Here is a 27,248-nt window from a genome sequence, read left to right on the forward strand (position 1 = left end):
GGGAGCTCAGTAAGTCACTTCTGGGCGACTGTTGTTTTATTTCCGGTCTATGGGACCCGGCTGCGATTTGCTGCTGCGGACAGCAGCTACCATCACTGCTGCCGCCATCATGTCAGACACGGACAGCGACGAAGATTCCGCTGGAGGCGGCCCATTTTCTTTAGCGGGTTTCCTTTTCGGCAACATCAATGGAGCCGGGCAGCTGGAGGGGGAAAGCGTCTTGGATGATGTGAGGGGGTGGGCGTGGGGGTAGGGCTCGGGGGGTGGGGCTAAGCAGAGGAAGGAGGTGCGGGGAGGAAAGGAGAGGGTGCTCAGGCAGCGAGAACAGGGCGCAGCTAACGCCGGGGAGGAGGATCCCGTCCTCATGGGTGCGGGAGCAACGTGGCGTGGGAGTGATCGTTCTGGGGGAGAGTGGGCAGAAGAGAGCGCGAGGCGAGCCCGGGGCCAGGGGCGCAGGGAATAGTGGCTTTGGAGCTAGCGCTCTGCCGACCAGACAGTAGGACACATGCTGGTTTCGCCTACTGAGATGGCTTCCCACCCGTAACCTGCTTGGAGATTCTTGACACTGCCTGCCCCTCTGACATCGCTGCCCTGAGATGGCTCTATAGAGCCAGAGGACTGGACAGGACCTGCCTCCCGCTCGTTTGGTTCCGGCCTCAGGCTTAGGACAATGGGGTGTTCCTAGCACCCGAGCGGGCCTCCTGGTCACAGTGCGCCTTTTAGGTGGCTCTCCCAGCGTCTTCACTGACTTTCGTGAAATAGTGTCCTGCGCCCTAGTGAAACTACCCTGCCTTCACTTAGGCCCGTTTTCTTGAGGAGTGAAGCTGTCGGCCGCTGTGGCCCCTCCTGTGCCGCAGGCGCATGCGAAACAGGGACCGAACGAGCCCCGCCTCGACGCCTCCAATCCCACTGATCCCCCTGCCTCGGCCCTCGTTCCGAGAACGACCGTTCCATTCATTCAGTCTTGGCAGTAGTTATTTGATTCGTCTTCTCTTGTAGTATACTTTAAAGTGTGGGCGATGCAGTTGGCTGTGGTGCTTTAATAAAGATCTGATCGATGCGGAGTTTGGTAGATGTATATTACAGTTCTCGAACGTGTTGCTTGTTTTGGCACACTGCACAGTCATTTTTCATGTGGATTTGTGACTTTGTCGTGGACCAGGGAAATAAGTCCTGTGGTGTGGGAGTCGTAGGTTTAGTTGTTATCTTCGACTCGTGCTGTCCCTTTTTCAGGAATGTAAGAAGCACTTGGCAGGCTTGGGGGCTTTGGGGCTGGGCAGCCTGATCACTGAACTCACGGCAAATGAAGAATTGACCGGGACTGACGGTGCCTTGGTAAATGATGAAGGTGAAGTCTGGGTTGTGGGGAGTAGGCGGGGGAGGAGGCTAGCCACCTACTATGTATGTACTTTTTTGTGTGTGTAAGACGGAGTTTCGCTCTGTCTCCGAGGTTGGAGTGCAGTGGGGCGATCTGGGCTGACTGCAGCCTCCGCCACCCGGGTTCAAGCATTTCTCCTGTCTCAGCCTCCTGAGTAGCTGGGACTACAGGCACGCACCACCACGCCCGGCTAATTTTTGTATTTTTAGTAGAGACAGGGTTTCATCATATTGGTCAGACTGGTCTTGAACTCCTGGCCTGAGGTGATCCGTCTGGCTTGGCCTTCCAAAGTGCTGGGATTACAGGCGTGAGCCACCGCATCCAGCCTGTACATGTACTTTTAAATGGGAATTATCTGAGGGAGTGAGGGTCGCTTACTGTTGTTGCGATTCTCCCTGCTTTTTTCATAGGGTGGGTTAGGAGTACAGAAGATGCTGTGGACTATTCAGACATCAATGAGGTGGCAGAAGATGAAAGCCGAAGATACCAGCAGACGATGGGGAGCTTGCAGCCCCTTTGCCACTCAGGTGATTCTTTGGTGTATTGGCTTGAACATTCCAGTGCATTATCCTGCTGTATAGTCCAGTTTGGGCTCTGGTTTCTATACCCGCTGTCTGCCATTGTTTCTGCTCTCTATGCCTTTGCTTTGGCTCCTCCACTCCCTTTGTCAGGTCAGTTCCAAGTAGCTGCTATCTTTTTTTGTGTTCTGGCCAGTCTTAACCGTATTCATGTGGTTATTCCTCACACTGTTCAGTCATGAATTCTTAGTTAATGACAAGTAGCTTTCTTGTCACCTGGTATTTGAATACCTACAGGGTTTGTGAGATACACTTCAAAGTTGGAAACTATGAAACAAATTCAGTTTTTGCCCTTAAGGAATGGATAGTTCAAGAAGGATACAACGTCATACATAAGCAATGAACTAAGGCAGGACGTGGTGGCTCACCAGATTACCTGAGGTCGGGAGCTTGAGACAGCCTGACCAATATGGAGAAATCCCGTTTACTAAAAATAAAAAATTAGCCAGGCGTGGTGGCGCATGACTGTAATCCCAGGTACTCGGGAGGCTGAGGCAGGAGAATTGCTTCAAACCGGCAGGTGGAGGTTGCAGTGAGCCGAGATCGTGCCACTGCACTCCAGCCTGGGCAGCAAGAGTGAGACACTCCGTCTCAAAAAAAAAAAAAAAAACCCAATATAAAACAACTGTTTTTTTTTTTTTTTCCGAGACGGAGTGTCTCACTTTCTTGCCCAGGTTGGAGTGCGGTGACACGATCTCGGCTCACTGCAATCTCCACCTCCCGGTTTGAAGCAATTCTCCTGCCTGAGCCTCCCAAGTAGCTGGGACTACAGGGGCCCGCCACCAAGCCCGGCTATTTTTTTGTATTTTTAGTAGAGACAGGGTTTCACCGTGTTAGCCAGGATGGTCTCGATCTCCTGACCTCGTGATCCGCCTGCCTCGGCTTCCCAAAGTGCTGGGATTACAGGCGTGAGCCACCACGCCCGGCCACATCTGGCCAATTTTTTTGTATTTTTAGTAGAGAAGGGGTTTCACCATGTTGGCCAGATTGGTTTCGAACTCCTTACCTCAAGTGACCCTGCTCCCCTCGGTCTCCATAAGTGTTAGGATTACAGGTGTGAGCCACCGCACCCTGCCTAAAACAATGAACTTGATACCTGCTTGCAAATATGTTTTTTTCCTCTCTGGTATAGGGTGCTACATTGTAGAATCAAAACATCAGACTTAGAAGGTAGAGTCAGTGAGTGGAAGGAGTCTTAGGAATTATTTATTCGTAATCTCTAGTAGAAAAGGAAAACTTGAACTTTAGAGAACTTTATAATAAAATGTGGGATTTTATCAAAAGTAATACAATTAGCTAGTAGTAGACTGACTAATTTAGCTCAGTTCGTTAGACATTGTTTGAGCACTTGTTATGTACTCTAAACTGATAGGCAGTGTGTTTCTTTTTTTTTTTTTTTTTTGAGACGGAGTCTCGCTCTATTGCCCAGGCTGGAGTGCAGTGGTGCAATCTTGGCTCACTGCAAGCTCTGCCTCCCAGGTTCATGCCATTCTCTTGCCTCAGCCTCCCGAGTAGCTGGGACTACAGGCGCCCACCACCACGCCTGGCTAATTTTTTTTTTTTTTGTATTTTTAGTAGAGATGGGGTTTCACTGTGTTAGCCAGGATGGTCTCGATATCCTGACCTCGTGATCCACCCGCCTCGGCCTCCCAAAGTGCTGGGATTACAGGCATGAGCCACCGTGCCTGGCCTAGGCAGTGTGTTTCAAAGATAATGAAGTCCGCTGGGTGTGGTGGCTCAGGCCTGTAAACCCAGCACTTTGGGGGGCCCAGGTGGGCAGATCACGTGAGGCCAGGAGTTCGAGACCAGCCTAGGCAACATGGAGAAACCCCGTCTCTACTAAAAATAAAAAAATTAGCTGGACATGATGTCGTGTGCCTGTAGTCGCAGCTACTCAGGAGGCTGAGGCGTGAGAATGGCTGGAACCCAGGAGGGGCAGGTTGCAGTGAGCCGAAATGATGCTGCTGCATTCCAGCCTGGGCGGCAAGAGCTAAATGCTGTCTCAAAAGATAATGAAGTCCATTTTCTGATCTTGAGAAGTTCAATTTAGTGGTCTGGAATCTAGAGGTATTGGTCCATAGTTCATTTTTGGCACTGCCCTGTTCTACCTCTCACTGCTTGAGACTCCCCCACCCCACCCCACCTGACAGAGTCTCTCTCTGTCACCAGGGCTGGAGTGCAGTGGTGTGATCTCAGCTCACTGCAACTTCCACCTACCGGGTTCAAGTGATTCTTCCACCTCAGCCTCCCCAGTAGCTGGGACTACAGGCATGTGCCACCACTCCCGGCTAATTTTTTTTGTATTTTTAGTAGAGATGAGGTTTCGCCATCTTGGCCAGGCTGGTCTCGAACTCCTGACCTCAGGTAATCCGCCCACCTTTGCCTCCCAAAGTGTTGGGATTACAGGTGTGAGCCACCCCGCCTGGCCTGCTTGAAACTTTTATGTGAAGTTGCTCGTTATTTATTCATCGTCCACCTCTTCGAACTAGATTTCAGGCTTCTGATAAATGTAGATAAAACCTTGGTAAATACTTGAACTTAGTTTTTTCGGGACAGCTTATGGATTTGAGTGCTACTTATATGAAAAGAATTAACTGTGTTGCATATACAAAAAGTAACCCACGAAAAATAGAAGATATAAGCCCTGCCTTTAAGGATATTGTTATCTTTTGGGGAAGATGATGTGAACAAATGCAGAACAATTATTCATAGTAAGACAAACCACCTATGAGATCATGTTTCTGTATATAGAGTGTTACATTTAGTTTTGATGGGCTGCAAGAATAGGTAAGTCAATAGCTGTCATTTTTGGGCACCCTGACTGGGGGGACATGGTGGCAGTTATTTTCAGTAGAAGTTATAATTTCCAGGTTTGTGTTTGTTGTCTTGACTAGGGATGGTAAGGAAAAGGCTGGGAGTTTCCCTAGGTGAGTTTTATGAGCTAACTTCCTATAAAAGGAGGATGCTACATTTGACAGAATCTCAGTACTCTGGGATGCTCATTTCTAAGTTCTCTTGTCCTCTAGGGGTGCCTTCACCTATACCCTTAGTTTTTTCCTTCCTTGGCATTGGCTCCTTTGCATGGCTTGGTTTACAAGGGTGCTTCTTTGGAATAATTGGAAGTGGGTGTAGATTGCTAATAAAGCTTTCATGGAGGTGAATTTTGAGTAAAATTTTGAAAGTGAGGCAAGGTTTGGTGGAGAAGGAGCAGCAGGGGATTTTGGTTTGGAAACACGGCTTGTCTAAAGGTTTGGAGATATTTAGAAATAAGCAAGTAGTGTGTGTGGAGGGGGAATTAGCCAGTAGGTTTTCTTGAAAGGAGTAGAAAACATGCTGCCAAATAGCAAGAACCAAGGATAGAGCAATTTCACAGTACCTTTATGTATGCATTACTTGGGATTTGATGACATAAGGAATTGCAAACCAACATAGACTGTTGAGTGAGAGGCAGGATGGTATAATGAAAAGAAAAGGATTTTGGAGTCAGTGTCCTAGGCTTAGAGTGTCATAGATTCAAATTCCAACTCCATATTTAGTGTGACCCTGAGCAGGTTGCTGAATCTCTGAGGCTTGGATTTCTCATTTGTAATAATCCCCCAGTTTTCTTGTCTGTAGTAAAGGTGATAATATTCACACTTTTGTGAGAATTGAAGTTCATTATCACATGATGTAAAAGCACATAGTATAATATTATGGTAAATGCTCTGTAAATATTAGTTGGCTTTCCTTTTTTTCTGCTTTGCTAGTTTACAGTCTTAGAGGCTTCCCTTTCTGAGGCTTTAGAAGAGTGATACTTGTCGCTCTGGGGTTTTGATTAGTAAAAGAGTGAATGTCACACCAACTTGCAGGCTGTTCTTGCAGGCTAGAGATGTAAAGTTATTAAGGTCCGAAGTAGGGTGACAGTTGTAGAAAATGATACCTAGGGTCAGGCTGGGCGTGGTGGCTCACGCCTGTAATCCCAGCACTTTGGGAGGCTGAGGTGGACGGATAACTTGAGGTCAGGAGTTCGAGTCCAGCCTGACCAACATGGTGAAATGCTGTCTGTACTAAAAATGCAGAAATTAGCTGGGTGTGTTGGCACACATCTGTAGTCCCAGCTACTCGGGAAGCTGAGGCAGGAGAATCGCTTGAACCCGGGAGGCAGAGGTTGCAGTGAGCTGAGATCATGCCACGGCACTCCAGCCTGGGTGACAAGAGTGAAACTCTGCCTCAAAAAAAAAAAAAAAAAAAAAAAAAAGATAGCTAGGGTCAAACTTAGAAGATACTGATAAAGTATCGTAGGACTTGGTTGCCTATAGTCCCAGCTACTCAGGAGGCTGTGGCGGGAAGATAACTTGAGCCCAGGAGTTGGAGGTTGCAGTGAGCTATGATTGAGCTTCTGTGCTCTAGCCTGGGCAACAGAGCAAGACCCCTGTCTCAAAAAAAAAAAAATACAGGGCTTGGTGAGTGAGGAATTGTGTTGGAAAGAGTGTAGGCTTTGTTGTTAAACCAGGCTTGCATTCTGATTTTGTCACTTAAAATTCAGTCTCTTCCGTATCTCAGGATAATTCCTGTTTTGAAGTGTTATTGGGAGGATTATACATAAAACAGCTAGAAATGCCTGGCACATAATGGAAGTTTAGTAGTAGGAAGTTGCTATACTTACTTTTTTGTTTGTTTGTTTGAGACAGAGTCTCGCTCTGTCACCCAGGCTGGAGTGCAGTGGCGCGATCTCAGCTCACTGCAAGCTCCGCCTCCCAGGTTTACGCCATTATCCGGCCTCAGTCTCCGGAGTAGCTGGGACTACAGGCACCCACCACCAGGCCAGGCTAATTTTTTGTATTTTTAGTAGAGACGGGGTTTCACAGTGTTAGCCAGGGTGGTCTCGATCTCCTGACCTCGTGATCCACCCACCTCAGCCTCCCAAAGTGCTGGGATTACAGGCGTGAGCCTCTGTGCCTGGCCACTTTTTTTTTTTTTTTTTTGAGACAGAATCTTACTGTGTTGCCCAGGCTGGAGTGCAGTGGCGCAATCTCGGTTCACTGTAACCTCTGCCTCCCCGGTTCAAGCATTTCTCCTGCCTCAGCCTCCTGAGTAGCTGGGACTACAGGCCCGTGCCACCTCTCCCAGCTAATTTTTTGAATTTTAGTGGAGACTGAGTTGCACCATGTTGCCTAGGCTGGTCTTGAACTCCTGAGCTCAGGCAATCCGCTCGCCTCAGCCTCCCAAAGTGCTGGGATTACAGGTGTGAGCCACCTCACTGGCCCTATACTTACTATTTGTAATGATCAATTGGATAAATGTATATTGGGGGTTATGAGATTGATGAAGGAGACAGTGGACTAAAGCCATAAGCTGGGAAAATGCATATGGATGTGATGTTGATAGGGAATTTAAAAGAGATAAAGGATATTTCAGTGTTTTATAAGGTACAGCTGTTAAATATCTGAGTAGAAAGTTTCCTTAGGAAGCAGAAGAGTCGTGGAGTTGTAGAGGAGGTAAATTAGGGCCGCATATGTAGATTTGGGTTTAATCTAGGTGAAGGTGATTCTTGAGAGAGGGAATAGGGAACGTATAGGGGAATAAAAGCAGAGTCTTTAGGACGAATTCTTGAGTGATGCCAATGGTTAAGGGGCAGTGAAAAGAGTAATAAACTGCAGATGACAGATAGAAAAAGTGTGTCATCTCTCATTTGAGAGATGAAAGACCAGTCTTAAGGGAAACTGACAGAGGGAGAAGATTCCCAAAGTGCTGGGATTACAGGTGCGAGCCACTGTGCCTGGCCCAGTATGAAAATTCTAAAAAAGATATGGTCAGGAAAGGAGCAAATGTTTCAAGCAGCTCTTGGAAACGCTTTCATATGTTGTATGATTTTTTCTTTTCTTTCTTTCTTTTTTTTTTTTGAGACAGTTTCACTGTGTCGCCCAGGCTGGAGTGCAGTGGCGCAATCTCGGCTTACTGCAACCTTCACCTCCCGGTTCAAGTGCTTCTTGTGCCTCAGCCTCCCAAGTAGCTGGGATTACAGGCACATGCCACCACTCCTGGCTAGTTTTTGTATTTTTGACAGAGATGGGGTTTTGTCATGTTGGCCAGGCTGGTCTCTGAACTCCTGACCTCAGGTGATCTGCCCGCCTCAGCCTCCCAGAGTGCTGGCGTGAGCCACCATGCCCAGCCATCATATCTTGTGTGAGATATTATATATGTTATAGCAATTGACTTGCACCGTGATGTCATCTCTTTCTGAAGGCTAAAGCTATGTTTCAGATAGATATGTAAAATATTTTGAGGCATGGTCTTGCTCTGTCACACGATTACTGCTCATCAAAGCCTTGACCTCCTGGGCTCAAACTGTCTCCCGACCTCAGCCTCCTGAGTAGCTGGTACTACAGGCGTGTGCCACCACGCCTAGCTAATTTTTGTATTTTTTGTAGAGATGGGGTTTCTCCATGTTGTTTAGGCTGGTCTTGAAATTCTGGGCTCAAGTGATCTGCCCATCTTGGCCTCCCAAAGTGCTGGGATTACAGGCGTGAGCCATCATGCCTGGCCCTCACCTTGCTTTTTTCACTTGTGTGTTCTTAAGGGATATGCATAGTGTTTCATGTGGTGCTTTAAATTATTGAGTGGCCCTGTAATCCCAGTACTTTGGGAGGCTGAGGCAGGTGGATCACAAGGTCAGGAGTTCGAGACCAGCCCGACCGACATGGAGAAACCCCGTCTCTACTAAAAATACAAAAATTAGCTGGGCGTGGTGGCACATTCCTGTAATCCCAGCTACTCAGGAGGCTGAGGCAGGAGAACTCGGGAGGTGGAGGTTGCAGTCAGCTGAGATTGCACCGCTGCACTCCAGCCTGGGCGACAGAGCAAGACTCTGTCTCAAAAAAAAAAAAAAAATTGAGTGGCAAGGAAGCTTAAGGCGGTTGTATAATATTTTGGATATTGAGGAGATCACCTTCTTGGTTTTATTAGATTATGATGAAGATGACTATGATGCTGATTGTGAAGACATTGATTGCAAGTTGATGCCTCCTCCACCTCCACCCCCGGGACCAATGAAGAAGGATAAGGACCAGGATTCTATTACTGGTGGTAAGTAGAGATTGTCTACTTTTGTCTGAGGAGCAAGTTTTCATTCCTAAGTCCAGGCTTGTGGCACACACATAAGGGACAAACTTAAGCTTATATGAAGGGACAAAACTTCTAGAAATAATTCATACAATCGCAAATTTTAGTATTAAAGGGAAGTTTTACTTTTAAAACATTTGGCAACAGTATTTTAACATGTGCTCAAGAAATAGTAGTTTAGTCAGTGGTTCTCAAATCTGGCTACCCATCAGAATCACTTAGAATCTTTAAAAAAAAAAAACAAATACCTGACTTTCACCCCTTGAGCCTGATTCAGAAGATCTTGGGTAGAGTCCAGGAATTTAATTAAATTAATTAAAATTTTTTTGAGAAAGAGTCTTGCTGTGTTGTGCAGGTTGGAGTGCAGTAGCACGATCTTGGCTCACTGCAACCTCCGCCTCCCGGGTTCAAGTGATTCTCATGCCTCAGCCTCCAGAGTAGGGGCTGGAACTCCTGACCTCAAGTGATCCGCTCGCCTTGGTCTTCCAAAGTGCTGGGATTACAGGCGTGAGCCACTGCTCCCTGCCGAACCCGGGAATCTTAAAGAGTTTCTTAAGTAATTTATGATACAACTGATCTGTATACTGGTATTTGGAAACTACTTGTTTAGATGGCTTTATTTTAAATGAAGTGGTTAAATTAGGAAGGTGCCCTGGAATGTTGATAAATCAGATAGTGTCAACTACCAGATATTCAGAGATTTCAAAGGCTAGTAGAGTCTTCAGTGTTTATCTTACCTATTCCTATAACAGTAACTGTCCTAGGCTTGAAAACTGGGGAAGAGCAGTGTTTTTGACCTCCTGTATTTTGAGGCTTGTATTAACCTAAATTCTTCCTGTTGGAGTTTTAAGCCATTTCTTTTAACAGTCTGCTAAATGTCAGCTGTTAACTTTGTTTTATAGATCTTATTTATGCCAAAGAACCTTAATGTTGTCCCGTGGGCTTAAAAAAATTCTCCAGCTCATGAGTCTCTGAACTAGGACTACCTGAGTGGTATAAAGTATTACATAGTTTTGCTATTGGTCACAACATTGGTTACAATATTGGTTACTTATCAGAAAGTAGGGCCAGGTGTGGTGGCTCACACCTGTAATCCGAGCACTTTGGGAGGTGGAGGCAGATGATTTGAGGTCAGGAGTTCAAGACCAGACTGGCCAAGATGGTGAAACCCCGTCTCTACTAAAAATGCAAAAATTTAGCCAGCTGTCGTGGCGCATGACTGTAATCCCAGCTACTCAGGAGGTTGAGGCAGGAGAATCACTTGAACCCGAGAGAGAGAGGTTTCAGTGAGCTAAGATCTCACCACTGCACTCCAGCCTGTGCGACAGAGCAAGACTCTGTCTCAAAAAAAAAAAAACAACAAAAAATCGGAAAGTAGTAAATGTAGTAATAGTGTTTGTTTTCTCATCACAACCCTAGGGTACCAGGTACGTGGTGAGTTGGGGGACGATGGGAGATAACGAGTTAGAATGAGTTTTCTGGGTTGCATACTAGTATTATGATTTGGGTGCTTGGGCCTATATCTCCTGGCATTGAGCCATGTGTATAGCCTAAAGTGGGTGTTTGCGGAATTCGAGGAAATATGTTCACAGTTACATGCCAAAGGGGTTTCTCTTCCTTGTTGCAGTGTCTGAAAATGGAGAAGGCATCATCTTGCCCTCCATCATTGCCCCTTCCTCTTTGGCCTCAGAGAAAGTGGACTTCAGTAGTTCCTCTGACTCAGAATCTGAGATGGGACCTCAGGAAGCAACACAGGCAGAATCTGAAGATGGAAAGCTGACCCTTCCATTGGCTGGGATTATGCAGCATGATGCCACCAAGCTGTTGCCAAGTGTCACAGAACTTTTTCCAGAATTTCGACCTGGAAAGGTACATTCTGTGGAGAATGCTCAGATTGCAAACCACTGACCTCTTCCAAATAATGAGTTTTGTTGTTAAGATGCTGAGTATGGAATGGGGTTTCCTTACTCAGTGACATATTATTGGCTACATAAGAGCTCTTCACACTGTATTAGGTCTTTTTTTTAAAGTTGTATGTATTGATAGTAAATGTGATTTATGCTGTTCTCATTGGAAATTTCTCTGTTATCTTAAAAGAACTAGCCCAAATTATTAAGGAACGCTTCTTTACTTTCTTAGACGTTACAAGTCTGAATGCGACACTCCTTTGTTTCTCCCCCACATTTGAAGAGATCTCTCAAGGGAGTTTTCAGGCCCAGATGCTGCTGTTTTCCCATCTGACTTTGAGTCTGTGTCATAGTAATGTATTCTGTGTTCTAGGTGTTACGTTTTCTACGTCTTTTTGGACCAGGGAAGAATGTCCCATCTGTTTGGCGGAGTGCTCGGAGAAAGAGGAAGAAGAAGCACCGTGAGCTGATACAGGAAGAGCAGATCCAGGAGGTGGAGTGCTCAGTAGAATCAGAAGTCAGCCAGAAGTCTTTGTGGAACTACGACTACGCTCCACCACCACCTCCAGAGCAGTGTCTCTCTGATGATGAAGTAGGCAAAATAGAGACCTGAGATTAAGGCCTATGAGAGGAACAAATGAATTCAATGAGTTCTCCCTAATTTATGTCTAAATTGTAAATAATACCATAGCAGATAGAATCTGTGCTAATTTTCAATGAGTAATCATGGGTTCAATCTCAGTGGCTGCCCCTTCCCTATTGTAAAAGAAAAATGTTTGGTGGGGTAGGCGGGGATGAGAGGGGTAGATGGTGATATGCTGCTGAATAAGAAGGTTTGATTGATAGGTGGAATGTGCTATGATACATCTCCATTGTTTACATTCTAACTCCAGGTAAATCATCCTCAGTTTCTCTAAGTTCCCCTCCTGACTGTTAACTCTCTATAGCCTTAGGACATCTGGGATCAGGAAATTCTCCCTGCTCTACTTCTTTCTTCTGTTACAGATCACGATGATGGCTCCTGTGGAGTCCAAATTTTCCCAATCAACTGGAGATATAGATAAAGTGACAGATACCAAACCAAGAGTGGCTGAGTGGCGTTATGGGCCTGCCCGACTGTGGTATGATATGCTGGGTGTCCCTGAAGATGGCAGTGGGTTTGACTATGGCTTCAAACTGAGAAAGACAGAACATGAACCTGTGATAAAATCTAGAATGATAGAGGTGAGCAACACTGGTATGTAAGAAAGGAATCAATGTACTCAGGTCCTATTACTTTTACTAACTTTACTCTTTAATTGGGGAGATACTGGGTGGTAGGGTTTCTTTGGTGGGAGATTGAGGTGTCTCAGCCTTTTATTTGGTATGGTGTATCACCCTGGTAGCTAGGTCCTATTCTAAGGATTCTGTTTGTGAAATGAATGCTGTGCCAGACTAGGAGTGGGAAGAGGCAAATATTCCTCCGTTATCAGGTGGTTGTTTCAAGTAAAGGACCACTTACAATGTGTCTGATGTATCTTTAATGTGGAATTTGGAGTGGAAACCTTGACCAGTGACCAATCAAGGATGTGTTTTTTCTTCCCTACTTACACAGGAATTTAGGAAACTTGAGGAAAACAATGGCACTGATCTTCTGGCTGATGAAAACTTCCTGATGGTGACACAGCTGCATTGGGAGGATGATATCATCTGGGATGGGGAGGATGTCAAACACAAAGGGACAAAACCTCAGCGTGCAAGCCTGGCAGGCTGGCTTCCTTCTAGCATGACTAGGAATGCGATGGCTTACAATGTTCAGCAAGGTGTGCTTCTGTGCCAGCTGTGTCTAGCAGATACTGCCCTTAATCTTAGTCACCATAAGTGGGCTCAGCTGTGATTTTTTTTTTTTTTTTTTTTTTTCGGTGAGACAGAGTTTCGCTCTTGTTGCCCAGGATGGAGTGCAATGGTGCAGTCTCGGCTCACTGCAACCTCCGCCTCCCCAGTTCAAGCGGTTCTTCTGCCTCAGCCTCTGGAGTGGCTAGGATTACAGGCGTGCACCACGATGTCTGACTAATTTTTGTATTTTTAGTAGAGATGGGGTTTCTCCATGTTGGTCAGGCAGGTCTCGAACTCCCGACCTCAGGTGATCACCCGCCTCAGCCTCCCAAAGTGCTGGGATTACAGGTGTGAGCCACCACGCCCGGCTGGCTGTGATGTTCTGAGCTGCCAAGAGATAGTGAAATTTTTAGGATCTGAGGCCTAATTCTAGTCCCTGTAATTTTTATTTTATTTTTATGCTCAACCTGGAGGAAGATAGTCCATGTAATTTTTTGCCCTGTTAAGAAGCTAGGCCAGACTCAGGTTTCTTAAAAACATGTGATAAAGATCTTTTTTTTTTTTTTTTTTTTGAGACGGAGTCTTGCTTGCTCTGTTGCCTGGGCCGGAGTGTAGTGGCGCAATCTCAGCTCACTGCAATCTCTCCCTCCTGGGCTCAGGCGATTCTCCTGCCTCAGCCTCCCGGGTAGCTGGGATTACAGGCATGCGCCACCATGCCCATCTAATTTTGTATTTTTAGTAGCGATGGGGTTTCTCCATGTTGGTCAGGCTGGTCTCGAACTCCCGACCTTAGGTGATCTACCTGCCTCAGCCTCCCAAAGTGCTGGGATTACAGGCATGAGCCACCACGCCTGGCCTGAAGTTAAAGATCTTTCTGAACTATAACAGTACTTTATAGTATATTTTTGTTCCCAAGTCCCTTTGTATTTAGAATTCTAGTTTCCTATTTTTCTCCTTAAATAGGTTTTTTTTTTTAAGGTATGCCATGATTAATGTAAAAAACTTTGAAAATACAGTATAGTGTTAAAGTCACTGGTAATCTATCTGGAGATTATCAACTGTTAAGTTTTGGTGTATTTTCAGTGTTCTGTGTGTGTATGTAGTTGAGCTCATTTCCGTATGTACAGTTTTGCATACTGTGCTTTTCACTTACTAAATATTTTTCTCTCTTTCATTTTTTATTTTTCATTGTTGAGACAGGGCCTCACTTTGTTGCCCAGACTGGTTTCAAACTCCTAGACTCAAGTGATCTTCCTGCCTCGGTCTCCCAAAGTGCTGAGATTACAAGCAAGAGCCACCCCACCCAGCCACATAAATATTTTTGTGTCATTTAGAGTTCTTTATAAAAATGTTTAATGACATGGGAAACTCGTTCATTTTATTTTAATTAAATTATTATTTTTTGTAGAGGTAGAGTCTTGCTATTGTTGGTCAGGCTGGACTCCTGGGCTCAGGTGATCCTCCTGCCTCAGCCTCCCGAGTAGCCAAGACTTCAGGGGCATGCCACCACGTCTGGCTTGAGAAACTCATTTTAAATGGAAATAAAGAAGATATGAAACAACATATATGATATCCTATTAGTGTAAATGAAAAAAAGCAGACTATATAAACATAGAAAGCTGGATTACTTTTATATTTTGGAGGAAAAACAAAATTTTTTCTTTTTTGAGACAAGAGTCTCTGTCGCCCAGGGTGGAATGTGTTGGCGCGATCTTGGCTCACTGCAACATCTGCCTCCCAGGTTGAAGTGATTCTTGTGCTTCAGCCTCCCGAGTAGCTGGGATTATAGGCGTGCACCGCTGTGCCCAGCTAATTTTTGTATTTTTAGTAGAGACGGGGTTTCACCAGGTTGGCCAGGCTGGTCTTGAACTCCTGACCTCAAGTGATCTGCCTGCCTTGGTCTCCCAAAATGCTGGGATTACAGGCGTGAGCCACCACACCCGGATACAAAAATGTCTGATTTTTAAAACCTAAGAAATAGGTTTTTTCCCTTCCATTCTGCCCACTTTATGGGTTATATATTACTATTACGAATGTTTCATAATTTACCGATAACATGTTGCATTTGTTAATACAATTTATTACCATTTATTGTTAGCATACTTTACCATATCATTTATTGTCATAATTTAACCAATTCCTTCTTAAACATTTAGGCTATTTAAATTTCAACTATTATAAACAGTATTGCAGTGGACATTTTTGACTGCAACATTATTTTTATTTATTTATTTTTTGAGACAGAATTTCACTCTTGTTGCCCAGGTTGGAGTGCAATGGCACGATCTCAGCTCACTGCAATCTCTGCCTCCTGGGCTCAGGTGATTCTCCTGCCTCAGCCTCCTGAGTAGCTGGGATTACAGGCATGTGCCACCACACCCAGCTAATTTTTGTATTTTTTGTAAAGATGGGGCTTCTCAATGTTGGTCAGGTTGGTCTTGAACTCCTGACCTGAAGTGATCCACCTGCCTCGGCCTCCCAAAATGCTGTGATTACAGGTGTGAGCCACCGTGCTGAGCCTGCAACATTATTTTAAAGTGAGAAATACACTGTGTAGGTTCCTTTTCAGTGGACACATGAATAACTCCACTAACTCGCTCTACTAACATGAGTAACTCTTTTTATCTTTGCCAGAATCTTGATTGAAAGGGGCATAAATGTTTTCTCTGTTACTATTTCCTCCTTGCACTTTGACTAGGTTTTGCAGCCACTCTTGATGATGACAAACCTTGGTACTCCATTTTTCCCATTGACAATGAGGATCTGGTATATGGACGCTGGGAGGACAATATCATTTGGGATGCTCAGGCCATGCCCCGGCTGTTGGAACCTCCTGTTTTGACACTTGATCCCAATGATGAGAACCTCATTTTGGGTATATTACTGGCAGAGGCCAGTGTTTCTTCTCCTTTGAAAACTTGCTGTTAATGTCAACGGGCAGGAGGAAATCAGAAGGGTTGGAGATGATTAGGACTAGAAACCTGTAGGTAGCGGCTTGAGAGAGCGAAGTTTTGGCTGTTAGTTTATATTATTTGTGTATATGCTTAGGGAACACTCACGTAGGAATGTTGGAAAGTTGCAACTTTGAGATGTCAAGAGCATAGTTTGTTCCGTTAGTGAATCATGGACTCGAAACTTCTAGGTAGCAGTTTGAGAGAGCAAAATTGTGGCAGTTAGTTTTTATTATTTGTGTATTCCCTAGGGAAAACTCATGTAGGACTGTCGGAAAGTAGTACCTTTGAGATGTCAAGCGTGTAGTTCACTTAGTGAATCATGTACTAGAAGTGATTTGGGATGGGATGAAAAGATACAGGTGTAGTTCAGTTAGTAAATCGTGGACTAGAAGTTACCTGGGGGGGGGTGGGATGAAAGGTCTAGTTAAGACCTTCACTGGAACATCCGTCACCTTAAAGAAGAAAACTGGATACTTGTCTGTAGGAAAGGTGAATCTTCAGGGAGAGCAACTCAAGTGATTTTTGTTTTATTCTCAGAAATTCCTGATGAGAAGGAAGAGGCCACCTCTAACTCCCCCTCCAAGGAGAGTAAGAAGGAATCATCTCTGAAGAAGAGTCGAATTCTCTTAGGGAAAACAGGAGTCATCAAGGAGGAACCACAGCAGGTGTGTGAAGAAAAAAGGGGCTTGGTGTTTAGAAGAACAAAGAAAGGTAATAGAGAAGGATAGTCTGACCGAGATTTGTTTGATTATCTATCATTAGAACATGTCTCAGCCAGAAGTGAAAGATCCATGGAATCTCTCCAATGATGAGTATTATTATCCCAAGCAACAGGGTCTTCGAGGCACCTTTGGAGGGAATATTATCCAGGTACAAATAGTGTCTTTTCTGTGATAGAGGAGAACCCCATGGCTTTGTTCTGACGGAGGATATGGGAAAATCTTGCTTAGGATGGAATTAGCTAATTTTAACCCTTCTATTTCCTGTTTTAGCATTCAATTCCTGCTGTGGAATTACGGCAGCCCTTCTTTCCCACCCACATGGGGCCCATCAAACTCCGGCAGTTCCATCGCCCACCTCTGAAAAAGTACTCATTTGGTGCACTTTCTCAGCCAGGTCCCCACTCAGTCCAACCTTTGCTAAAGCACATCAAAAAAAAGGCCAAGGTATAATTGAATTCTGGTTAGAAAACAGCTATAAAGGATATTGGGGTATAAATTAAGGGAATGTACCAGGTATTAGATTGTATTAGGGAATTGGTTATTTTCTCAGATGTGATAGAATGTTATTTTGGTTATTTAGGAGAATGTCTTTATTGTTAGGTGATGCATGTGAAAATATTTAAAGGTGAGGTGTCAGAATGACTGCATCTTTCAAAAACTGTCCAGCAAAGTCTATAGAAAGATAAAAGTTTAAAAAAATGGCGAAATATAAACAGCGACGTGGGATAATAAGTGTTCATAGTACAGTCGTCCTTCGTTATCTCTGGGAGATTGGTTCTAGGACCTTCTCTGGATACCAAAATCTTTAGATGTTCCAGTTTCTGATAAAATAGCATAATATTTGCACATAACCTATGCACATCCTCTCCTATAGTTTAAATCACCTCTAGATTACTTATAATACCTACTCCAATGTAAATGCTATGTGAATAGTTGTTAACACTGTTATTGGTTAGGGAATAATGACAAGAAAAGTCTGTACCTGTTCAGCACAGATGCACTTGTATTTTCTGAATATTTTCTATCTATGGTTGGTTGAAATCACGGATGCAGAACCCATACATGGATATGGAGGGCCGACTGTACTATTCTTTGAACTTTACAGTATGTTTGAAAATTTTGATTATGAAATTGGAAAATAGGTAAAATGTTTTTGGTGTGTTTGTCTCAGATTGAACAACGTCATTGTGTGTAGTAGTGTCCTGTCAGGAGCTAGATGGTATTTTCTTTGTTCTGGACAGATGAGAGAACAAGAGAGGCAAGCTTCAGGTGGTGGAGAGATGTTTTTTATGCGCACACCTCAGGACCTCACAGGCAAAGATGGTGATCTTATTCTTGCAGAATATAGTGAGGAAAATGGACCCTTAATGATGCAGGTTGGCATGGCAACCAAGATAAAGAACTATTATAAACGGGTGAGTCTCTGCTCAGAAAATTTTTTTCCCATACATAATTCTGCTTATGCTTCCATAAACTTTTATGTACAAACTTTTTGTTATTAACATAGCTGTAGTGAGACAAACTGCAAACTTACATACAAATTTTTTATTATTAACGTAGCTGTAGTTAGAGATCTACTGGTAATCTGTGAACATATACCATAAATTTCTTGGGAGAAAGGAGTGGTACCTTTTTTTGTAGTTATAACATGTTGAGCATCTCAAATCTCAAAATTCGAAATCAAAATCCAAAACTTTTTTTTTTTTTTTGAGACTGAATCTTGCTCTTTTGCCAGGCTGGAGTGCAGTGGCATGATCTCCACTCACTGCAACCTCCACCTCCTGGGTTTGGGCAATTCTTCTGCCTCAGCCTCCTGAGTAGCTGGACTACAGGCGTGTGCCACCACACCCAGCTAATTTTTGTATTTTTAGTAGAGACAGGGTTTCATCATGTTGGCCAGGATGGTCTCGATCTCTTAACCTCGTGATCTGCCCGTCTTGGCCTTCCAAAGTGCTGAGATACAGGTATGAGCCACCATGCCCGGCCAATCCTAAACTTTTTGAGCACTATGATGATACTCAAATGCTCATTGGAGCATTTTGGATTTCCAGATTTGGGATGCCCAACTGGTAAGTATAATGCAACTATTCCAAAATCCGAAACACTTCTGGTCACAAGCATTTTGGATGAGGGATACTCAACCTGTATTAGTAAAGTGCTATGGTCATATTGTGTAGGATTATTGATATATTCTAAATAACTGGGTCTTCTGTGTTCCTTATAGAAACCTGGAAAAGATCCTGGAGCACCAGATTGTAAATATGGGGAAACTGTTTACTGCCATACATCTCCTTTCCTGGGTTCTCTCCATCCTGGCCAATTGCTGCAAGTGAGGAATTCTTTCCTGTTTTTACTGTTAACTAAGGAAATTGATAAATGAGGAACCAGTCAGCTCAGAAAGAACTATTATAATTCTAGTTGATTGAGATGCTTTAATTTTAAGTACAAAGAAAATAAGTATAATCCAAAAATGTTTTAAAGAAATCTTTTTCTTAAAACTGGCTGTGAATTGTGTTATTCTCAGGCTAAATGTAAAATAGGTTTTTAAAAATACACACTGGTAAGCTCAGTAACATCTGGGAAGCATAAGGAAGTCAACCTAGGATGAATTTACTATAAATTTACTATAATTTATGAATATTTAATTTTTGTGTATAAAATTGATAACATTTTGATCACATTAGCTGTGGTTATTGTGAATATTGAACCACACCTGAACTGTGCCATCTACAGTCCCCAGCCATAGTGAAATGCTTTTTTTTTCCCTCCTTTGTTCTAATGGGTGTAAAGAGGCTCTCTTATAACAGCTTTTATATATTCAAGGGGGGAAGTATGATGGTCCACAAATGATGTGGAAAATCTCTAGCACTCTCCCATCTTGTTTTTTTTCTCCATTTCATTTCTCTTGGCAATCTTAACCATTTGTCCTACTCTTATACCTAGTTTATTCTACTGTTGTTGTTGTTTATTCTCCTAAAGCATCTGCAAAGCTCAGTTTTTTTCTTTATCCTTTACATTCATAGTCTATTGCTAACCGGATGTTTAGTATCATCTTTGTATTGTTCTTCTCCTTTCCCTGGAACTTTCTGTTGAGGTTTTCTACCAATTCAGCCTCTTCTTTTGTGGCTACTTTTGTAGTCTCTTAAAGATCTTTTTCTGGCCGAGCGTGGTGGCTCACGCCTGTTAATCCCAGCACTTTGGGAGGCCGAGGTGGGCGAATCACCTGAGGTCAGGAGTTCGAGACCAGTCTGACCAACATGGAGAAACTCTGCCTCTACTCAAAATACAAAATTAGCCGGGCATGGTGGCACATGCCTGTAATCCCAGCTACTCGGGAGGCCGAGGCAGGAGAATCACTTGAACCCGGGAGGTGGAGGTTGCAGTGAGCCGAGATCGCGCCATTGCACTCCAGCCTGGGCAACAAGAGCGAAACTCCATCTCAAAAAAAAAAAAAAAAGATCTTTTTCTGTATTCTTCTGTAATTCTTTTTCTGCCTATATTTCACATGTAGAATTTTCTTTCCACACTCAGTGATGGTCTTCCCTCTTTCTGTCTACTCTTCTGATTTTCGGGGAAGGCTTTCCTTAGACTCAGGCTTCTTGTGACAGTTTATCCCTATCTTGCCTCTACTTAAACTGGCTCAAATGTTTCTGTTCAGCTGTCCTCTGTCCTACTGTCTTGTGTTTTCCTTTTGTTTTTTCCCAGCCTATTCTGTCTAGCACTCTTTCTACCTCATTGGTTGTTTTATGATTTATTTGTTTGGAGATAGGGTCTGGCTCTGTGACCCAGGCTGGAGTGCAGTGGCACGATCTTGGCTCACTGCAACTTCTGCCTCCTGGGCTCAAGCCATCCTCCTACCTCAGCCTCCCAAGTAGATGGGACAATAGGCGCACGCCACCACATCCAGCTAATTATTGTATTTTCTGTAGAGATGGGGTTTTGTCATGTTGCCGAGGCTGGTCTTGAACTCCTGAGGTAAAGTGATCTACCTGCCTCGGCTTCCCAAAGTGCTGAGATTACAGGCATGAGTCACTGTGCCCGGCGTTGTTTTGTTTTTTAATTAGTTTAATAATTTATTCAACAAATGTTGCTCTCACACGTTGTGTGTTGGGCTACACTGGGGTCTAGGGTAGTAGTATAGTACTTGGTACATTATGAAGTGATTTTCATATGTAATCTTCATAGCAGTCCTGTGAGGTATAGGCATTTTTAAGTATCTCTGTTTTGTAGATGAGGAAAACTAAACTTAGACATGTTAAATAGCTTAAATAGACATGTTAAATCATAGAGGTAATGGCAGAGCTAGCATCATCTGAATTCACATCCTGTATTTTCTCCCCTACTGACTCTGAAAGATAGTGGATGAAAAATTGTTTAGTCACATTTGATAATCTATATTTTAATTTATTTGTATTACTGGATAGACCTTAGATGGCGTAATTAAGATGGAGAGCAATAAGCTTGGTATTTCTTTCTCAGCAGTTGACTGAATTTCCTAGGGCTACTCTGTATATAATTTTTGTGTTTTTACTTTTGTTAGGCATTTGAGAACAACCTTTTTCGTGCTCCAATTTATCTTCATAAGATGCCAGAAACTGATTTCTTGATCATTCGGACAAGACAGGGTTACTATATTCGGGAATTAGTGGATATTTTTGTGGTTGGCCAGCAGTGTCCCTTGTTTGAAGTTCCTGGGCCTAACTCCAAAAGGGCCAATACGCATATTCGAGACTTTCTACAGGTAAGAATGGGAGGATAGGGAGGGGATTGGGTTGTATACAGAAAGGGTATGTTGGGGCCGGGCATGGCGGCTCATGGCTGTAATCCCAGCACTTTGGGAGGCCGCGGTGAATGGATCACTTGAGGTCAGGAGTTCGAGACCAGCCTGACCATCATGGTGAAACCCTGTCTCTACTAAAAATACAAAAATTAGCTGGGCGTGGTGGCTCACGCCTGTGATCCCAGCACTTTGGAAGGCCGAGGTGGGCGGATCACCTGAGGTTGGGAGTTTGAGACCAGCCTGACCAACATGGAGAAACCCCGTCTCTACTAAAAATACAAAATTAGCCAGGCGTGGTGGCACATGCCTGTAATCCCAGCTACTCAGGAGGCTGAGGCAGGAGAATCGCTTGAACCTAGGAGGCGGAGGTTGCAGTGAGCCGAGATCGCACCACTGCACTCCAGCCTGGGCAACAAGAGTGAAACTCAGTCTCAAAAAAAAAAAAAAAATTTAGCCAGGCATGGTGGCGCACGCCTATGGTCCCAGCTACTCTGGAGGCTGAGGCAGGAAAATCACTGGAGCCCGGGAGGCAGAGGTTGCAGTGAGCTGAGATCAAGGCACTGCACTCTACTCTGGGTGACAGAGCGAGACTCCGTCTCAGAAAAAGTAGGCTGTGTGGGTTTGGGAGCACATCGGGAAAGATGAAAATACATTAGAGCTTAGCAAAGGAAGAGGCCCTAGTGAGGACTTTTATCCTTTTCTTTGCCAAATAAAATACACTTGGTTTGTTGGGCAGGTTTTTATTTACCGCCTTTTCTGGAAAAGTAAAGATCGGCCACGGAGGATACGAATGGAAGATATAAAAAAAGCCTTTCCTTCCCATTCAGAAAGCAGCATCCGGAAGAGGCTAAAGCTCTGCGCTGACTTCAAACGCACAGGTCGTCTGTTGTGACTAGTTATTTGTCTGCCTTTTTCCAAGAAAAGAATTTTGATGGCTTTGAGTTAAAGGATAAGCATATAGTTAATAAAATAGAAATTGATGGCTGTTGAAAGGAGGTAGCAGATCTTCTAACACTCTGGTTGCTTTTTTGAATTTGGCTGCCAGGAAGTTTAATGTGATTGTTGGATATCTTCTATGAGTTGTAGGAAACTTAGCAGCTGGGGTTTTCTTGGCCAGTCATGCCAACTGTGGCTAGGCCTGTTACAGTTTTGGTTTGCTGTCCCTGTTGCTGTCAATAAATATCAGGGCCTTTGGAATTCAGAATGGTCTCATTCTCTATGTATATGTCTTTTCCAGGGATGGACTCAAACTGGTGGGTGCTTAAGTCTGATTTTCGTTTACCAACGGAAGAAGAGATCAGAGCTATGGTGTCACCAGAGCAGTGCTGTGCTTATTATAGCATGATAGCTGCAGAGCAACGACTGAAGGTGAACACCTTCCTCTTAGACACCACTTATGCCTGTGGTTTTTTGTTTTTTTTTTTCTTCCCCCCAGAGAGATGAGAGAGAAGATTCTTTCTCTGACTGGCTTAGGGAGGATGGTTTACTAGATTATTACCAATTACTAAAAAGTTCAATTTGTATAAAGTACTTCTACGTACATCAGTTCTGGAGAAAAACTATAGTGTAGCTAAGTATCAGTGGGAAGGCATAATGAGGAACTTTGGGCATATTGTTTTGCTTTGAAAATGGTGACTGGGTGACTTTAATCTCTTCTTTGCAAGATAAGCATATAAGCAGGGAAAGTACTTGTCAGCCTCTCAGGTAGGCAGAGATGATGATGGTGCTGAATGTGTGGTTTAGAGAAGCACAGAATTCTTATAAGGCCAAAAGAGAAAAGGTCCAGCTGAGGTGTGACAGCACAGCTCTGTCCCACTGAGTTAATGAGACTCAGTTATTGAGCATCTCTGTTCAGCTTGCTTATGGGCTGTAACTATCTGTATATCAGCTAGTAAGCTCCTTGGCATGTTGTAATGTATCTTATAGCTTAAGGATGTGCCGTGGTGTTAGATATAGTGAAGACTTTATGGAATCCATCTATGCAAAATAGACTTTGGTATTCTGTACTTGTATTCAGTAAAAAAAAAACTTGTGCTTTGTGTTTTTTAACTGACTGATTTATGCATGGATCTGTCCTCTTCCAGGATGCTGGCTATGGTGAGAAATCCTTTTTTGCTCCAGAAGAAGAAAATGAGGAAGATTTCCAGATGAAGATTGATGATGAAGTAAGGCTTTATACTAGTTTGTATTAGTCATTAATACATCTCATTTATCCTTTTAAAAGAGACAGCTTTATTGAGATAACATAAAATAAACTGTACACATTTAAAGTATACTGTTAGATGTTCTTGCTTTATTCATGCCAGAAAAAATGATGCGATATATCAAATATTATATTTTATATGATATGGGTTTGTTTTTTTTTGTTTGTTTTGTTTTTTGACAGAATCTTGCTCTGTCACCCAGGCTGGAGTGCAGTGGTGGCATGACCTCGACTCACTGCAACCTTCACCTACCGGGGTTCCTGCAATTCTCGCGATTCTCCTGCCTCAGCCTCCCGAGTAGCTGAAATTACAGTTGCACGCCACCATGCCCAGCTAATTTTTTGTATTTTTAGTAGAGATGGTGTTTCACCATGTTGGCCAGACTGGTCTTGAGCTCCTGACCTCAAGTGATCCTCGTGCCTTGGCCTCCCAAAGGGCTGGGATTACAGGCATGAGTCACTGCACCTGGCAGGATTTTCATTTCTTCTAGAAAAAAGACTTTGACCTGATTTATAAGACTTCACATGATTTGGGCCTTGCATATTAATCTGACCTCCTTTCATCTCCTGTCACTGCCTGTCTTATATTCTAAGCTCCAACCATACCGAAGTTCATTCAGTTTCCTAAATTTCTCTTCCCTTTCAGAATTTTTCAGTTATGTCTTCTACTGAGATATTTTTTCTCCACTCCTCTGCCATTTGACTCTCATCTACAAGTTATTTTCTCTGGGAAGCTTTCCTGGACTTTTCCCCTCATTCCACCCTGGATTTCGATTGGATGATAATTCTCCTTTCATTATGTACATATAGTACCCCTTTACTTTTTTCTTTCCCAAGATAGGGTCTTGCTCTGTTACCCAGGCTGTACCGTGGTGAGATCACAGCTCACTGTAGCCTTGAACTCCTGGGCTCAAGCAGTCCTTCTATCTCAGCCTCCCGAGTAGCTGGGACAACAAGCACACACCACCACACCCAGCTAATAGTTTAAATTTTTTGTAGAAATGTCTCACGGCCGGGCGCGGTGGCTCATGCCTGTAGTCCCAACACTTTGGGAGGCCGAGGCGGGCAGATCACCTGAGGTCAGGAGTTCGAGACCAGCCTGGCCAACATGGTGAAACCCTGACTCTACTAAAAATACAAAATGAGCCGGGCGTGGTGGCGTGCGCCTGTAATCCCAGCTACTTGGGAGGCTGAGGCAGGAGAATCACTTGAACCTGGGAGGTGGAGGTTGCCGGGAGCTGAGACCACGCCATTGTAGTCCAGCCTGGACTAAAAGAACGAATCTCCATCTCAAAAAAAAAAAAGAAAGAAAGAAATGGGATCTTACTGTGTTGCCCAGGCTGATTTTGAACTCCTAGGCTCAAACGATCGTCCTGCCTTGGCCTTCTAAAGTGTTGGGATGATAGGCATGAACCACTGTGCCTGGCCTCTACTTTCTTCCCGTGGCACTGATCACATAGTACTGAACTTGGTTGGCTGTTTTTCCCTCACTAACTTGAGGTTCATGAAAAAGTAGTATGGAGGAGTAGTGTGTAGTTGGTATTCAATAAATATTTGTTAAATGAATTAAGTGATTATAAAATGAAGCAGAAAATGAGGCCACACAGAGTGAGTAAAGAATCGTTGTACTACTCTCTTGAGGTTGGAATGAAAAATGAGTGGATATCTAAGAATTTCAGAAATTAAGAATTCTTTTGAGGCCAGGCGCAGTGGCTCAGGCCTGTAATCATAGCATTTGGGGAGGCCAAGGTGGGAGGGTTACTTGAGGCCAAGGGTTCAAGACCAACCTGGCCAACATAGTGAGACCCTGTCTCTAAAAAAGAAAAACAATTTTTTTTAAATTAAAAATAAAAAAAGAATTCTGTTGAATGGCTTTCCAGATTGAACCTTAGAGAATGGCCATTTTCTTGCTAATCATATATACTCTTTTTTTTTTTTTTTTTGAGACAGAGTCTCACTCTGTCTCCCAGGCTGGAGTGCAGTGGTGCAGTCTGCTGACTGCAACCTCTGCCTGCTGGGTTCAAGCCATTCTCGTGCCTCAGCCTTCTGAGTAGCTGGGACTATAGGTGTGCGCCACCACGCCTGGCTAATTTTTGTACTTTTAGTAGAGATGGGGTTTCACCATGTTGGCCAGGCTGGTCTTGAACTCCTGGCCTCAAGAGATCTGCCCGCCTCAGCCTCCCAGAGTGTTGGGATTACAGGTGTGAGTCACCACACCTGGCCTCATGTACTCCTGACTGGTCTGTGTGGGCAGGCACATTCACCCCTTGGCTTAATTCTTTAAGAATCTTGCAGGGGTTGGTAAACACTATTCAGGGTCCCAGGAGAGGACAGACCTTTTTGACCAAACCAGTGGCAGAAATAGAATGGACTTTGGTTTAGTGTCACTGGAAAAGGGGCCAATGCTTTGAAAGCAAGCATGTCAAGTATTTCGAGAAAATAGGTTTCATTCTAAAACAGCTGTTTGAGCAATTGGACAATCAAATGTAGTCATTAGTCTAATTTTGAGCATCATGAGGGTGAGGGAAACACTGTCCTTAAGAATGTTTATTGAAGCCCAAGGGATAAGGGGCTGAAGGGATACCACTGTTCTTTATTTTTCTCCTTATCCTGCCTGAGCTCTTGACCTCTATTTAATATCATGTTGTAAGTATTGTACCATAGGATAGAAGAGAACTGAGTACTAGGTAGCTATATTTAACTGTTGATTTTTGTGGACAGTTTAAGAGAGCATGAACCCACAGAAATTAAAAATTAGAAAAAAAGAACATGAAAATAGTTTGTAATTATTCTACTCTTGTAGATATTGGCTAGACATAGAACAAATGTTTCCCACTGCCCTGAGAATCTTTTTCTTTATCTCAGGTTCGCACTGCCCCTTGGAACACCACAAGGGCCTTCATTGCTGCCATGAAGGGCAAGTGTCTGCTAGAGGTGACTGGGGTGGCAGATCCCACGGGGTGTGGTGAAGGATTCTCCTATGTGAAGATTCCAAACAAACCAACACAGCAGAAGGTGAGATTGTGTTTATTTCTAGAATGAAAAAGTCAAGGGAGAAAGAAATGGGTGAGTGGAGGACTTGGAATGTAGTTAAGGTAGCAGAATGACTTAGATGCCTACTTAAAAGGAATTCAGGTTTTTAGGAGTCTCACTTTTTTTTGTTTGAGGTAGGATGATAAAGAACCGCAGCCAGTGAAGAAGACAGTGACAGGAACAGATGCAGACCTTCGTCGCCTTTCCCTGAAAAATGCCAAGCAACTTCTACGTAAATTTGGTGTGCCTGAGGAAGAGGTGAGTGTGGAAGTGGAAAATTTAGAGTATACTAGGGGCTTTGTATAGAGTTGGAATTGCTAGGAGGCAGATGTAAAGAACTATCTGGGGAACTTTATTGTAGGGTATAGTAAGCTAAGTCTTAGATATTGTTTTAGGAGTTATCTTTCTATGTAATCTGCTTTGGGGTGATTTTTCTTTTTTGGTCTAACTGTGTACATTGGCTTGTCCTTTGAAATCCCTGAATGATTTGTGTGTGTGTGTGTGTGTGTGTGTGTGTGTGTGTGTGTGTATATTTATATTTGTGTGTGGCTATTTGTCTCGTAGATTAAAAAGTTGTCCCGCTGGGAAGTGATTGATGTGGTGCGCACAATGTCAACAGAACAGGCTCGTTCTGGAGAGGGGCCCATGAGTAAATTTGCCCGTGGATCAAGGTTTTCTGTGGCTGAGCATCAAGAGCGTTACAAAGAGGAATGTCAGCGCATCTTTGACCTACAGAACAAGTGGGTCGTTTTAGTGCTGCAGAAAATCCAAGCTGGA

The 27,248-nt window shown here is 43.8% G+C and overlaps 1 protein-coding gene across 30 annotated transcripts in view, besides 2 other annotated features; it reads left to right on the forward strand.

Annotated features, from left to right (window-relative positions):
* TAF1 (TATA-box binding protein associated factor 1) overlaps positions 92–27,248 on the forward strand; it is a 164,169-nt gene continuing 137,012 nt past the window's right edge. For 22 of the 30 annotated variants that reach the window (NR_104395.2, NR_104391.2, NR_104392.2 and 19 more), the window contains exons 1-21: positions 92–229; positions 1,234–1,348; positions 1,789–1,905; positions 8,902–9,021; positions 10,685–10,926; positions 11,338–11,556; positions 11,970–12,188; positions 12,559–12,766; positions 15,478–15,654; positions 16,271–16,398; positions 16,496–16,603; positions 16,726–16,899; positions 17,697–17,870; positions 18,680–18,784; positions 20,996–21,196; positions 21,972–22,113; positions 22,473–22,603; positions 23,320–23,400; positions 26,304–26,453; positions 26,610–26,729; positions 27,036–27,211. Coding sequence is in view for 21 of the 30 variants with exons in the window: in NM_001440852.1 (NP_001427781.1) it covers positions 110–229; positions 1,234–1,348; positions 1,789–1,905; positions 8,902–9,021; positions 10,685–10,926; positions 11,338–11,556; positions 11,970–12,188; positions 12,559–12,766; positions 15,478–15,654; positions 16,271–16,398; positions 16,496–16,603; positions 16,726–16,899; positions 17,697–17,870; positions 18,680–18,784; positions 20,996–21,196; positions 21,972–22,113; positions 22,473–22,603; positions 23,320–23,400; positions 26,304–26,453; positions 26,610–26,729; positions 27,036–27,211 (3,227 nt within the window). In the remaining 9 variants the exon portion in view is untranslated. Of the gene's footprint in view, positions 230–284; positions 1,349–1,788; positions 1,906–8,901; positions 9,022–10,684; positions 10,927–11,337; positions 11,557–11,969; positions 12,189–12,558; positions 12,767–15,477; positions 15,655–16,270; positions 16,399–16,495; positions 16,604–16,725; positions 16,900–17,696; positions 17,871–18,679; positions 18,785–20,995; positions 21,197–21,971; positions 22,114–22,472; positions 22,604–23,319; positions 23,401–26,303; positions 26,454–26,605; positions 26,730–27,035; positions 27,212–27,248 lie in introns of those variants that run through there. The other 8 variants (NM_001440854.1, XM_047442393.1, NM_138923.4 and 5 more) reach the window with 3 other exon arrangements.
* Positions 134–183: an enhancer, noted in NCBI's record as "active region_29743". NCBI's record gives its function as "activates an Ori minimal core promoter by ATAC-STARR-seq in GM12878 lymphoblastoid cells {active_cell/tissue: GM12878}" and the evidence as "EXISTENCE:reporter gene assay evidence [ECO:0000049][PMID:35858748]".
* Positions 702–1,397: an enhancer, noted in NCBI's record as "H3K27ac-H3K4me1 hESC enhancer chrX:70586817-70587512 (GRCh37/hg19 assembly coordinates)". NCBI's record gives its function as "activates a minimal SCP1, AML or CMV promoter by ChIP-STARR-seq in primed H9 embryonic stem cells {active_cell/tissue: H9 hESC(primed)}" and the evidence as "EXISTENCE:reporter gene assay evidence [ECO:0000049][PMID:30033119]".

Source organism: Homo sapiens, chromosome X (assembly GCF_000001405.40).
Source record: "Homo sapiens chromosome X, GRCh38.p14 Primary Assembly".
Lineage (NCBI taxonomy): Eukaryota > Metazoa > Chordata > Mammalia > Primates > Hominidae > Homo > Homo sapiens.